The sequence below is a fragment of the Homo sapiens genome, chromosome 14 (assembly GCF_000001405.40).
Source record: "Homo sapiens chromosome 14, GRCh38.p14 Primary Assembly".
Lineage (NCBI taxonomy): Eukaryota > Metazoa > Chordata > Mammalia > Primates > Hominidae > Homo > Homo sapiens.
The window spans coordinates 79,903,059-79,918,039 of record NC_000014.9 but is presented as its reverse complement, the minus strand read 5'-3'; the positions used below and the strand labels follow the sequence as shown (position 1 = coordinate 79,918,039).

At 36.1% G+C, this 14,981-nt stretch overlaps 1 long non-coding RNA gene across 1 annotated transcript in view; it reads left to right on the top strand.

The window, feature by feature from the left end:
- The first annotated feature begins 897 nt into the window (after nucleotides 1-897).
- The window catches only part of LOC105370582 (uncharacterized), a 42,877-nt gene continuing 28,793 nt past the window's right edge, over nucleotides 898-14,981 (top strand). The window contains exon 1 of the long non-coding RNA XR_944054.3: nucleotides 898-1,086. This is a non-coding gene — a long non-coding RNA (uncharacterized LOC105370582). The remainder of the gene's footprint in view (nucleotides 1,087-14,981) is intronic.

Below are 14,981 nucleotides of genomic sequence, written 5' to 3'. Positions count from 1 at the left end.
ACATTCGCCTTTATGATGTGCAAATAGCCTTGAGTCTGAACTATAATTCATAGCTCTGAGAAAAATTTTCAGCAACAGTAACTTTACTGTATGTAGGCTTTACAGTCTCAAATATACTTCTCTCCTCCTCCTATATTAATCTTGGGCAAACAATGTTGAAATTTAATTTCTGGACATTGTCAGGAAGGAAAGATTTTTCTTCTGCCTTCTTAGGCTCAGTAACTGGGGGCCTGTGAATTAAACTAATAAAAGACATGTTAACAGGAGAAAAGGCAAAGGCATACCTTTTTATTAACATTTATGTGTATACTAGAGTCATAGAAAATAAGTGAAACTCAAAGAAGCAGTTAAACTCAGGGGTTATATACCACTTTAACAAAGGAAAGGAGATTTGGGCTTCAAAGGACAATAAGTCATGGGAAAGTAACTAGGAAATATCTTGTGGAACTAATGAAAGATAAGGGTTATTTTAGTTCAGTTTGTTTATAGAAACTCATCTCTGCATAAATGTTCCATCTCCAATGATAAGAGTTGGTCTTCACTTTCTGGTAAGATGGGGGTACCTTCACAAAGGGAAATGTATGCCCTGTTTTTAGGTAGATAAGGGGAGGGCAGAGAACTCTTCCTGCATCTGTTGATTCTCAATTGCCTTCAGTTCAGAATAATACTTGTGCCAAAGTAGCAAATGTTGGGATGGCAAATCCTGATCTTTCTTAACACTTATCTGCAGGATCACTGATCCCATTTGTTGGAGACAAAAATGTTAATATACTTTTGCAGTGAAGCTTCATTTATATCTATGAAAGCACTGAAGTTGAAAGCCCTTTACCAGAGGAATCTCTGTAAAGGTGTCAAGTTGATTGTGACAAACCTCACAGTTGCTTATGACCTAGCAGTATAATATGACACTGAAGCTAAGAACTGGTGTGCTGGACAGTAAGATTAGTCAGCTGATCCTCACTATGAGATTAACATTTAACCCAGTTGACAGAAGCAGACCTGGGACACATAAATATTGATGGCTGGGTAAGAGAAGCCAGAGAGAAGAACAGCAAATGAAATAACGGCTTTAGGGATCCTGTGATGGTAAGTGGTCACCATATGGGAGAATATGGTCAGCTGGAAAGTTGAGGATGACTTTGAAATCCAACCTAACCTTCTTACTGAACCCAGAGGCCAAAGCTGCATCCATGAGCTAGAGCCAGATGCCCTTAATTATTACCCAATTTCCTTTAAACTGAATCCTTTTACATAAGTATGTTAATATTTAACTGAGAAGTATTAGCAATTTTTCAATTAGGTTCCAGTGGGCTCTTCACCTGTAAAATAGTCTTTTATCCCCCTTGATTGCAAGAGTCAGTGGGTAAAATTATGGACCAAGATTAGGTCACTATTTTGAAATGCAAGATATGGGTGTGAATTGAATTGAGGTGAGGAATCAGGTGCACTTGGGAAAATTTAAAGGATCATTTTCACTTCCCTCTGGTCACTAATGGTCTTGCTGGAGAATTCTTCCAGATAATCATGTGATTAGTGCTATATAAACAGATTCTTAATTATTAGCTTTCAATGACTCCTTAGAGGTGCCCTCAGGCTTGACCCAAGCACAGATCTAGATGAGAAAAATTTTCTTCTCTACTTTTACATGTCTGCTTAAAAGCCAATTCTTGTTTCCACTCCTGCTGAGGAACACAAGATTTTCTGAAAAGTCTGTTGAAAGGCAATTTAACTGTTTTAGGACAAAACACAAGGTAACTGTTTCCAGTAAAACTGCAGGAAGAATTAAAGGAAACAGGGTGAATTTTCAGGCTTGGAATCTGGCCGAAAGAAAGGCTAATTCACTTCCATTAGGTCTTTAGTGTCCGCAGTTTTAGGGCCAACTGCCTCTTCTATTAAAATATTTCTGCTGTGGTTTTGAACTGTCCCTCCTCAATGTTGCCGAATCTTACATTATTAAATTGGCTATTAATTTCCATGTTTCATGGAGCATTTTTGTACTGTTTTCAATCCTTAAAGCCTCTGTTTTAAATGCTCATCACCCCAGCAAACAGAAGATACCCCTGTCTCTATTTATTAGTTTCTATTTGCTATGATTTTCCTCCTCAGGCTAAAGCACACTTTAATTGAATGAAACCCTCATCTTGTGTTCAAGTTGGCTAACGAGCTCAGAGCCCTGCCTAAGAGTGGTTTACCTTATTAAACGGCTTGTATAAGACATGGTTGACCTTGTGTTGCAAACTCCAAGTTCAGAGACATGTAAATCTCTCTTGGGATCCTGAGAATAGGGTCAAAGGTTGGACAGTACCAAGAAGCTTCCAATTGTAATAATAATAATAAAAAGATCCTACCTCAATTGGGCCATATTTAACCTGGAAATGGAATGGAACAGAAAGCCAGATTGCTTTGTAATTGACAGCTTTGTCTCCCAGCAGATGGCTGTAATCTCCCGAATGTGCCAAACACAGACTCTAGGATTTTTGAGTTTGTAGAGAAAACAGAAAGGACAAATATTTATTGCAATTACAACATTTGTGCATTGGATATAGTTTCACAGCCTTTTAATCCTCCTTGATTAGAAAATACAGGGTGACTTTTTTTTTCCTTGCCAGTTGAAGTTTATCAACACTTTAAAAAACATTTCAAATTTTAATAAACATAAAAGTAGGTCATACAGAAACAGGTCTCTTTTTAGTTTACTTCCTGGTAAATCTATACATCAGCCCATTTAGAGAGTTTGAATCAACATGTTATAGCTCCCAGTCAGAGCTGCAGCATCCAAATTCAAATGGTGGTGTAATCAACTCTAGATTTGTCTGAGGAAATGATCCAGGTTTCAATTTTATTTTTCTTCCCACTGATCACTGCTGGTTAGTTCTTGTCAAGAAGGTCAGTTGGGGATCTCTCGAGTGATTTACATAATTAGGTTCTCTGTGTAGTCTATGGAAATTACTTCTGGGGCAACCGGAGCCACATTTGATCAATCCCATCAGATTATGTCTACCTCCATTGTTAGCAAATCATTAGTTAGTATCTGCATTATGATCATCCTGAAAAGCACTGAGCTAGTTTCGGCAGTAAATTTTAATTCAAATGTAAGTTCCTGGAACTGAAATCAAGGTTTTCCTGTAGCTTTTGGGTAATGGGTATAAATATCAGAAACAGCACAGGTAAATGTGAGTTCAAGTCACACCTCTTCCACTTTAGGTTTTGCTGTCTTTGGCAAGCCAATTAACATGTCTTGGATGAGTTCCTGACTTGTCAATTCTAAGCACTGAAGACTATTATGAGGATTGAGTGAGATGAGTGTATGAAATGAGATCTAAACTGTAAAGCAACCTACATTTGTAAAACAGCTACCAGTAGGTAGTTCCAGGTAGCTACCTGGGAAAATTGTATTAATTTATCAGAGCTTGGTGAGCTCCAACATGATTTATACGCACTAATAGTGACATTTGCATCCTACTTTTCCATGATATGCATCTTAAATTCCAAATTCTAGTTTTCATTACAATTTTATCAAAGCTTCAGCCTCTTTACACATTTTTTTGCCAAATCAATCTAATGCTTATAACTTATTTCACTCATTTAAAAAACATTTATAAAATGCAAAATATCCAACATTTTACTGGAAATTTCATACAACAATGAAATGCACCTCAAGTCGTTCTTTCTCCAGCTGACTTGAAATCTGGTACTTTTTATAATTTCCACAGTTTGCAATCTGGAGCTACTAAAACTAGATTTGTCCTCATGAATGACAGCACTTAACATACTTGAATGTGGCCAATGTTTCCACACCAAGTCTTCTTCTTCTCAGGCTCACTATTCAATAATTACACATTTCCCAAAGGACAAAAAGCCAGACTCCTTAATATTAACATTTAAGCCTTCTCTGTTTCTTAATTTGTCTCAATCTCTCTTTTCAGTTGTACTTTCTATCCCCTCAGAACTCTTCCTATCCCACCACCACACTAACCTCAATTCCAGCTTATAGAAACATTGGTATTTCTTGCAACATACCTAACTTTTATGCCTCCATGTTCCTCATCCATCCTCCATTCTTCTATCTCCAACTATATTTGCTTGGAAAACATGTGTTCAAAATCCCAGAACTACCTTAAACATCTCCTCCTCAGAGATGCCTTCACTGATCTCCCATCAAAGTCATTTTCTCCTTGATGTTACCACTGAACTATGCCACTTTAGCATCAAGCTCATCACACTGACTTGCCCTCATTTTCTTTGTGGCCAACTCCCCTATCTAACGATGAGGTCTATTATGTCCAGGAACTATTTTTCTTTGTTCTTTCAGAGTTTCATATGGTTTTTCATCCCTCTTAAGTAGTCAATGCTGTTTGTGGAATAAATGGAAGGAAAGATTTAATGAAGGAAGAAACTGGGGCCTAATTTCATAGTTGGTGGGGAATCACTAAAGGTATTAATTAAAAATACCTTCTTGAAAGAAGTAAAGAGTTGCGCTTTAGGGTGGCTAACCTGTTGGTTATAGGGAGAAGGGCTGAGGGCAAAGTGGGATAAAGAAAAAGAAGGCAGGAAGGTTAAGTGAGCTGCTACAATAGTCCAAGGATGAAGTAAAAAAGAGTTAAAACAATTAAATGGAGTATGAATAGGAGAAATTGTGAGATATTAAGGAGCTGACTGTACCTGTCAATAAAGACATTTTTAAATGTTTTTCTTTTCTTTATAGCACATGGTAAAATTGGATTTCCTTTGGCACCTTTGAAGTTAACGGCTACTTGATTACATTTGGCTAGTGAAGTATGACTAGGAGTGTGTGTGCTACATCCAAATAGAAGCTCTAGTAACTAGTACATAATCTGCTGCATTCTGATTTTAATGCCTCGGTGATTATGAATTCATGTGTCAAGGTGGAACCTCTGTCAGCTCTGTTCCCTGATGGACTATGAAGTTTTCCTGCCAACTGTATCAGACATGTAGTATGAGTGAGAAGTTAACTTTTGTATATCAAAGTACTGAAATTGGGTACTTGTTACTGCAGCAAAACCTAGCTTATACTGACTTGTTAGGATTCCACAACTGATGGAGGAGGGCATGCAGAAAACATTAAAATTTATCATGCAAGAATATAAATATGTTAGCATGAGTGAGTGACACGCTGCTATGTAAGGTTGTTCTTAATGTACACTTCACAACTGCAAGGTTTCTATTTAAATCACAGTCTATCTGAATTGTGGGCCCTAGATGTCCTGATGTACACAGTAGTCCTGGGAATGATTCATTAAGAAAAAATAAATTATTGTTTACTGCCTCCCAAATGATATTTTGAGTGCTGGAGATACAAAGACAAAATAGAGTTGATTGCTGTCTGTGATACAGTCAGAAGCCAGCACAATGTGGCAGGTCTGATATAGGCACTGTGTACAGATAGAGGAAAAAGCAACAAGTTCTGTTAGTTGTAGTTGAGCTGAGGTTTAAGGATAATTTAGAATTGTTTATGCAGAAGAGTGTCAGTCATTTTAAGCAGAAGATACAGAGAAGAAAAAGTATATGACACATTGGAGAAATAGCAACTGATCCATGTGGCTGTGACTTAGGTATGAATTTTGGAGGTATGTGGAAATGGTAGAAAAAAAGTGTGGAAAGTTAAGTTGGGGGTCACTTAGGAAAATTAAACATTCTGCTGATGATTTAGGCTTTATTTCTGGGACAAGTGTCCTGGAGGCTTTTTGATCAGATAAGCATTATATTTAAGTTTTATTTTGAAAAAAATTAATATGACATTTTTATCATATCATTGATAGAAATAAGGATATTAGATCAAAAGTGGAAGCTCATGTATTTAGCTTGTGATCTTTGATTAGTTTTGGTTTTATTTGAAAGATTATTTGCAAAAAAAATAAAAAATAAACTCAAGAGAGAGAGCTTATTTAGTTAGTACTGATTCCGAGAATGAATCCAACTCTATTATTGGTGCTACTTTGAAATTTTATCATGTTGAGCTTATCTTTTGAAAAACATGGGCCATGATTTAAAAGTTGCAAAACTTTTATGTCATCCAAAGACTGCTTGTGTTGTAATGGGATGTGATATGTAATCATGCAGGGCCGTAACACCACCACCCAGGGCCAGAGAAGTTTTTGAGAACTTGTAAAAAGCAGAAGTCACCCAATTATAATCTGAATTTACCATTCCTCTGGAGAGCAAAGTTCAGTTGGATGAGCTCTGTGTCTCGTCTTTTTTTGTTTTATTTGGCTTTTAGGTCTTCCCTATAGTGACATTTACGATGATAGATTGCTACCTGTATCATGGACAATGATTTCTGGTTAATGTTTGGCAGTTCAGGTATTACTCTAAAATGCTGGTGTCTAGATCTGCTACATCATCAGAATGTGAAATAAGACCTTTAGGCAACTTTCCCATGATGAAATTATTGCTTTTAGTCCTGTGCAGCCTGTTACTCTATTTATAAGCTTTTCAGCTATATCATTCTGTGTTAACAGTTTTAACTATCCAATATTTCCTCTGCTTTGTCATCACATAGATAAAAATTGGACAAGAAGAAATGTCCCAGTGGTGGTGCAAATGACCATCACAGTAGCACAGCTGGTCCCTGAAAATTCTCATCTGACTATGCACATCCACTAAACTTTAAAGGCTTTACACATTGGTGAGGAACTCATGAAAATACAGCCATCAGAGAGATGGGAAAATTAGAGAGTTATAAATGGCCTGCTGAGACATGGATGTCAATGTAGCTGCCAGGTGTTGGCATACCCAAAGTCAAAGGAGAGCTTGATTTGAATTTTAATTTGAGGAGAAAGCATGATAGTTATTGCCTACCCAAAGATCATTGTCCCAGGGACTCTAAGAAATCTCTTCTAAATGAAGAAATATCTAGGCTAGGAAATCAAGTGCCTAGCATAAGGAGTCGCTCAATTAATATTAGCTATTAACATTACTAGTCCACTGAACTGAGAAATAAATTTAAATTTTCAAGTTGAACTTAAAATCAAGTACTCCGTTGGCTTTTGAACTAATTAACCTATAGCCTATCATTCAGGTTATATATTTTTTTCTTAATCCTGAGAGAGTTAAAGTGCAATTTGAACATTCCCCAACTCCTCGATAATGCTGGAGGTGGCAAAATGGAACCACTGATATCTGATAATATGTGCTCCCCACCATGTTCAGTAGGGGTATTTTTTTAAAATATGACTTAACTAAAAGTACCTCTGGAACTGTGATACCAAATCTCCTCATAATGAAATTAACCATTTTGCAACCTTTAAGAATAACTATAGTTACAGTTTTAGGAAGATGCAGCATGTTCCAGATACTTCTCGAGGTTTCTTCCTTATAAATATCATCTCATTTGAAATTCTTAGCAGACCTATGAGGTTGGTATTCTTTTTGTTTGTTTGTTTGTTTTGTTTCATATGAGATTCAGAAACTGGCTCCCACACGCAGTCAGTAATCAGTGAGCTGTGATTTGAACCTAGACTGAATCTGAATCACTGCATTTTTAATCACTATAATCATGGCCTTCTCACTAGTGTAAGTCCAGTGTGAGTTTTATTTCTCTCTATGCATTATTCTATGCATCAAAAGCCTTCACAAATATGATTCCTTAGACTGTCTGAATGATTGAGTGAACCTCAATGCAAGGATTTTTAGGTTTCTCTGAAATACCCTTTCTCTGATAAATCTCTCAAAGGGAATAGTCCAAGGATAATAAATCGAGGCATCTTGGGGACTCATGGGAATTTACCTCTGTGATTGATGGAATGATCTGGCTGTCACCTGCATGCATAGTAAATAAAGCCATGGAAATGCATGAGATTGCCACGTGAAAATTGACATTGGTTTGTTCATTTTCTTAGGGGAAGAATACAATTGAAAAGAAGGGAGCTGAGGGGGACCATAAGAATGATTGATAGAAAGATACAGAGTTTAGATTAGGAAACTAGAAAAGAGAATGGAAGGTTTTATTATTATTATATTACTATTTCTCCAAAGTATGCCAGTACCCTTTTCTCAATGTGCTCACGATGTATATTGCACTCTGCTAGGCACCAAGGAAAAGGAGACAGAGAAGGGAGAGAGAGAGGAAGAAAAAGAGACAGATGTACTCTCTGCCCATAAGGAGCTAATGATTTAATTAATGGATAGAAAATTAATTTGCACTGAGTTGAAGGGCATGAAGATGAACAGCATAGGCACATGTTTATCACCCAAGGCCATTTTTGCTGATTATTTCATATCATTTGTCTCTAAGTAAATGGGCCTTCTAAGGAAGAAAAGCCAAGCTCTCTGGATCACAAAAGGCTAAGCAGGATATGAAATGCAATGTGTCAAAGGTATTCAGGCAAAGCATTCTTTAATATACAAATGAAAGAAAACCAAAAGGCAAAAGATTATCTTTCATTATCTGGGGAAGAAAAGCAGATAATTAATGATCAAAGTGGCAGAGACCCTTCGTGCCTTCATTTACCTCAGATTTTAATAAGGGAATAATTTTAAAAACTGATAACTAAAGAGAGATGTTCACCTGGGGTTATTTAAATGTGGCTTTCTCAGCCTTATATTTTACCTCAAAAATGTACTTACTCTTAATTTATATGTAATATAAATTGCAGACATTCTAGTGAGTCTGAGATGATTATCAAGTTGCCTTTCAGGCAGGGAAGAGGTTGGCCAACTCTTTAGAAATTGTCCATCCTGGGAAATATGGTGAAACCTCATCTCTACAAAAAATACAAAACTTGGCGGGGCATGGTGGCATGCACCTGTAGTACCAGCTACTCAGGAACCTAAGGTAGAAGGATCGCCTGAGCACAAGGATGTGGAGATTGCAGTGGACCTCAATCACTCCACAGCACTCCAGCTTGAGTGACAGTGAGATTCTGTCTCAAACAACAAAATAAATTGTTCAGGTATCAACATCCAAACCACAGTTCCATGGAAATGATAATGGAATAGAGTAAGCATTATATAATGAAGAAATACCAGGAGATAAACAGTTCAAAAAGGGAAAGAAAAATATTATCTCTAAAATTCAAGGAAACAGGAGGACAGCAATTTCTAACAACCATGGGTTTGGACCTCTATAAAAAAATTGTGAATATTCCCCTTAAGACACTTTACACTAGAGAGAATTGTGTTTTCAGTAAAGTCTTTTCTAATTAAGTGTTCTGTATCTGACTGTAGGGTGTGGAATTAGCTATGTCTTTGACTCTCAAGTCTTTTCCAGCATTTAATTCCAGTTGGAAAATTTTAGTGTGAAACCACACTTCTAAAGTCTTAGCTGTTGAGAACTTGAAAACGACTGTGGGCTTAGCATCTCCTCTGAAAATACTTCTTTTTTCCCAGAGCAGTTCCAAGGGAATGACTGGACTCAGGGCCTACATTTCACATGGTAGGCATTCAATAAATGTGTGCTGAGTATTTTTAAATGAATAAACCCTAACCACAATTAGAGAATATCTCCCTTACTGAACCTCCCTAATATAAAATCTGTCCCTGCAGTCTATATGACAATGCATAGGTTCAGAATTCAGGTTTAGAATTCTGTTAGTGACTAAGCCCTTAGCCATTTAGTCACAATTCATATATTCACTTGAGTTTTGGACAAATAATGACTGCCACTTGGGTTTAATGATAGTTTCACCTTGAAGTTTTCAGAAGAAAAAGGTCCCCTAAGCATAAAACAATGTTCCCCCTGGATTATGATGATCATCTGAAAACAGAAGATGAAAAGGGAAGATTCTAGAGTAGTATGAGCTATTGGTCAGACATCAATACACAGCTCTTCCTTTGTGGACACAGGATATCACAGAGACCATTCAAATTAGGTTAGGATGCTGTAACCCCAGAAGGTTGCCTCTGTGGGCAAACAGAGGTGATATTTTACTATATACATTTCTGCCCAGAGAAAGCGTCAAAGATTTCTCATACACTGGGCCAAATGAAGGCTTTAAAATCTTGCTAAGAAGTATTTTACATCTGGACTAATGTTTTCCATTAACCATTAAAGACTGGATATGTAAATTGTCTTTTCATAGCTAAGGTTTAAAATTCCCTTGTATACTCCATAGTGTCCTTTAAAAAATTATTTCTAAATTAGTGTCAGTTACATGTCTTGATTTAAAGGTATTAGTAAAAACAAAATACAAAAACCAAAAAACTAAAGAACTTCGTTTGAAAAGGAAGAATGACCAAAGACACAATGACTTGAAATCAACCTCAATCCAGTTAATTCTTAGGTTTTCTTCAATAAGACAATGATTCAAAGTGAAATGAGCAAAACCCTTGATTAATCACAGATTCTATCATAATGTCCAGAAATCTTTAAAATGGGGGCAAAATTATATTTTAGGAGCTTAAAATTTAAATGCATATATAAAAACAGCCCTATTTTACATATGAGCAAATCGTAGTTATGTGCATAGTGCATAGTGCACAAATAAAATTCATTCCTTGATTGGTTAAAAGCCTCAGCATATCAGTGAGAATGGTTGTTCTATTACAATTCAAGGAAAAAAAAATCTGAAGTTAAAGTTCCTCTAGTTGAGTAACTTTAATAACAATATATGCAACCAGAGGAAGCAAAGACCTTAAAGTTTGGTTACCCGTTTCGGCTTTGTGTTAATGTAGTTTTTTACATTTTGCTTTTGTTTTCATTTGCTTTTTTCATCATGATCACCTGAAATCAAACATGTTTATCTGATACACCATTGAGACTCAAAGAGATCCAATGACTGGCACAATCATAATACAGCTCCAAAGCAGAAGAGAGTGAGTCCAAAACTGTCTGACATCAGTAGTTTTCCTATTTCCACTATGCACATGACTATGATTTCCTCATATGTAAAACAGGACTGATATCATCTTCAAAAAAATTAAGGAGGCCACATATGTTTAGCTAGCATCTAGAGCAGTGTCTGACGTCTAGTAGGTATCTACAAAAAAATGTGATGATAGTAATACTTAGTGGTGGCAATTGCTGTTAAAAAAAAAAAAGTGACCAAAAGACTTGCAACCTAAATGGTCTAAGAATAATACCTAGAGTTTCTTCAAGGAAAAAATAGCTGAGATTGTGGAGTACAAACTAATTATCTCCCAAATCTGTATGCACTGATTTCTTGCATGAATAGATAACTTTACCAACAGATTCGGTCACACATCATAGACCACAGTTAAGTGTTGACTAGATGAAGGATATTTTGTAGTGGTGTATAAAGAAAAAAAGAAAGAAAATTATAGCCACTACAAAAATTCTATCACAATAACTAGAAAGCATGAGATTAATTGCCTAATAAAACACACATTGGAAATTCCTCCTACAGGCAAGAATGTGAAGCAAAATCTGAAATCAGCAAAACCTTGTTTAAAACCAAAAACAAACAAAAAACACTTTTTTTATTATTATTATTTTTTATTATACTTTAAGTTTTAGGGTACATGTGCACATTGTGCAGGTTAGTTACATATGTATACATGTGCCATGCTGGTGTGCTGCACCCACTAACTCGTCAACTAGCATTAGGTATATCTCCCAATGCTATCCCTCCCCCTTCCCCCCACCCCACAACAGTCCCCAGAGTGTGATATTCCCTTTCCTGTGTCCATGTGATCTCATTGTTCAATTCCCACCTATGAGTGAGAATATGCGGTGTTTGGTTTTTTGTTCTTGCGATAGTTTACTGAGAATGATGATTTCCAATTTCATCCAAGTCCCTACAAAGGACATGAACTCATCATTTTTTATGGCTGCATAGTATTCCATGGTGTATATGTGCCACATTTTCTTAATCCAGTCTATCATTGTTGGACATTTGGGTTGGTTCCAAGTTTTTGCTATTGTGAATAATGCCGCATTAAACATACGTGTGCATGTGTCTTTATAGCAGCATGATTTATAGTCCTTTGGGTATATACCCAGTAATGGGATGGCTGGGTCAAATGGTATTTCTAGTTCTAGATCCCTGAGGAATCGCCACACTGACTTCCACAATGGTTGAACTAGTTTGCAGTCCCACCAATAGTGTAAAAGTGTTCCTATTTCTCCACATGCGCTCCAGCACCTGTTGTTTCCTGACTTTTTAATGATTGCCATTCTAAGTGGTGTGAGATGGTATCTCATTGCGGTTTTGATTTGCATTTCTCTGATGGCCAGTGATGATGAGCATTTTTTCATGTGCACAAAACACATTTTTATATGAGCACATGTGTATGGTTCTAGCCACTTATATTTTAGCTCATAATTGAATAAAGATTGTCTAGCAATATCCACTATGTTTAGAGGTCTCTTGTGTACATGATTGTGTTATGACAGTAGAAATAAGCTTGGAAACTGTCAAAAAGGAAGATTGGTTGAGATGGAAACTTATAGTAGTCTACTTTTACAGGTGCAGAGGAAGCGGGGGTAATATCCTATTGTCTGCTGTGCACCCCCCTCTCAACACTACAACTGTTTGAGAAAAACAGTCTGAAAGTAGACTAGAAGAAGGGTTACCAATAACTCCAGGGACAAAAGCTTTTCCTGTTTTTATGCTATTTCTATCAGACAATAGACTTTCCTGGTCTTTGTTTCATTTTATAAATATGAACACATATACATACATACACACCCAGATCATAAACAAATTAGCCACTAGTACTTTTCAGACACAGTGAGTAGATTAACAATGCTACATATTTCCCACTTTTAATCACTTTGGGCTGTTTTTATTTATGTGATGGTGACTTTAAAGTAATACTGGACTATTTAACCCAACAAATTGCAAATTGGTATTTAATCCTAACAGCTTTCCAACACATTCTTCTCCAAAATGGGCAGCAGCATCTCATTACCTATGTTTCACCTGGGGAAATAAAATACCAATATCAGTGGAAAGTCTTCAGTCTGAAAAATCTGGAAGAGGAAAATCACAGCTGCATTAGATTCAACAAAAACAACAGAATAGAATCCAGTTTTTAAAGATTTTTTTCACCCTTCTTTCACATAGCCATATTGGGTAATTAAAGAAAAAACAGATATAGAAAATTAATCCTCTGTGAAATTTCATTATTTTTGTCCAAAAACGGCATGGCAGGGGTTATAAACGTAGGCAGATAACAATTGTATTAGAATTACCTGCAGTGTAATTTTTTGTATTAAATCTCACTAAAACAGATTTGAAGATACCATATGTGAGTGGAGGCTTTAATCTCTGATTGAATATATGCCGTACACACAACTGTGTGACTATTTTACACAATAACAAAGAGAGAGCTAGAGAAAAAATTTCCCATTAGCTGTTGCATCAAGCTTTTAGTTCAAGGAGTCTTTCTCAGTAAAACTAAAAGCAAAAACAAGTCATAACCAGTTTGATTTCTCTTCACAGGGTTGGCCTAATAAATAACTTGGGTAAAGCCCTTACTGCTTTTTTCACAAGCTAAAGAAAAAGGAGGCATTGATAGATGAGGCTAAGGCATTCTGAAATATATTTGCTAAATAATAAACACCAATTTCTTCCAAATAAATAATTAATTCTAATCAAGTCTAGCAAACCTGACAGGAAATATATAGGTGCTAAGGAAGAGAACTGAATCTCAGCCAAAAATGTGCAGTATGGAATGGAGGAGTCAAGGTTGACAAGTCATTAGATAGGAAGCTCAGAGAAGATGCCTTAACACATAGCAAGGGCAATGTTCAATTAAACATGAGGAGAATCTATTGCCATTTTAAACCTTTCCAACTATAGACCGGAGAAAATGCCCAAAGATGGGAAAAGATGCCCTCCTGAATCTCTTCAGATCCATTGATACTGATTCTCTTCTCTAGTGAAAGCATTAATTCTACACTAGAAGCAGCATCAGTGGTGGAAAGGTGTACATGTCTAGCCCTGTTCACACCTACTGCTCTAAACATATATCCTTCAATATTTATTTATTTTAATAGCATAAGAGAACTTTTTTATTGTTTTTAGTGGTTGCAGTGATTTTTCCACTTACTACATAAAATATTGTGGCAAGACTGAGGTTTAAAAAAGGAGAGGATTCTGGGAAGATGGAAGAGTAGGGAGTACCAGGAATCTCTCTACCTACTTAGACAACAATTGCACTAGCAGAAGCTGTTCGATGTAATTATTTTGGGACTCTGGAGTCTACTGAAGGCTTGCAACTTACAAAGAAAGACTTGGATGGTAAATTGTGGTTAATTTTAGTCAATTTCAGATGAGTACAGTAGTAATTACCTATCTCAGCCACATGACAGTGAGCCGTACATGTGTTCCTGGAGCAACTTGCAAAGAGCTTGTGGGAGCCAAGGTGGGAAAAACGGTATGTAAAGCAGTATTAGACATGAAATTTATAACTATAAATGCTTATGTTAAAAATAAAGATCTTAAATCAACAACCTAACATTTACAACTTGAGGCACTAGAAAAAGAACTAACTAAATGCAAAGCTAGACAAAGTAGGAAATAATGAAGATTACAGCAGAGATAAACAGGATACAGAAGAGAAAAATAATAGAGAAAATCAGTGAAACCAAAAGTTAGTTCTTTGACAAAACCACCAAATCAACAAATTTTAGCTAGATGAAGTAATCAGAAAAGAGAGGATACTCAAATCTCTAAAATCAAAGTGGACATATTACTAGCAATTCAATGTAAATAAAAAAGATTATAAGAGTACTATGAACAATTATATGCCAACAAATTGTATAACCTAAACGAAAATGTATAAATTCTTAGAAACAGAAAACCTATCAAGACAAATCATGGAGAAATACAAAATCTGAGTAGACCTATAACTATTAAGGCGATTGAGTCAATAATCAAAAATCTCTCAACAAAGAAAAGTCCTAGATCAATGGCTTTACTAGTGCTAGTGAATTCTACCCAATATTTAAAGAGAAACCAACACCAATCCTTCTTAAACTTTTCCAAAAAATAAAATGAGAGGGAATACTTTTTGACTTATTCTATGAGGCCAGCATTACTCTGATACTAAAATCA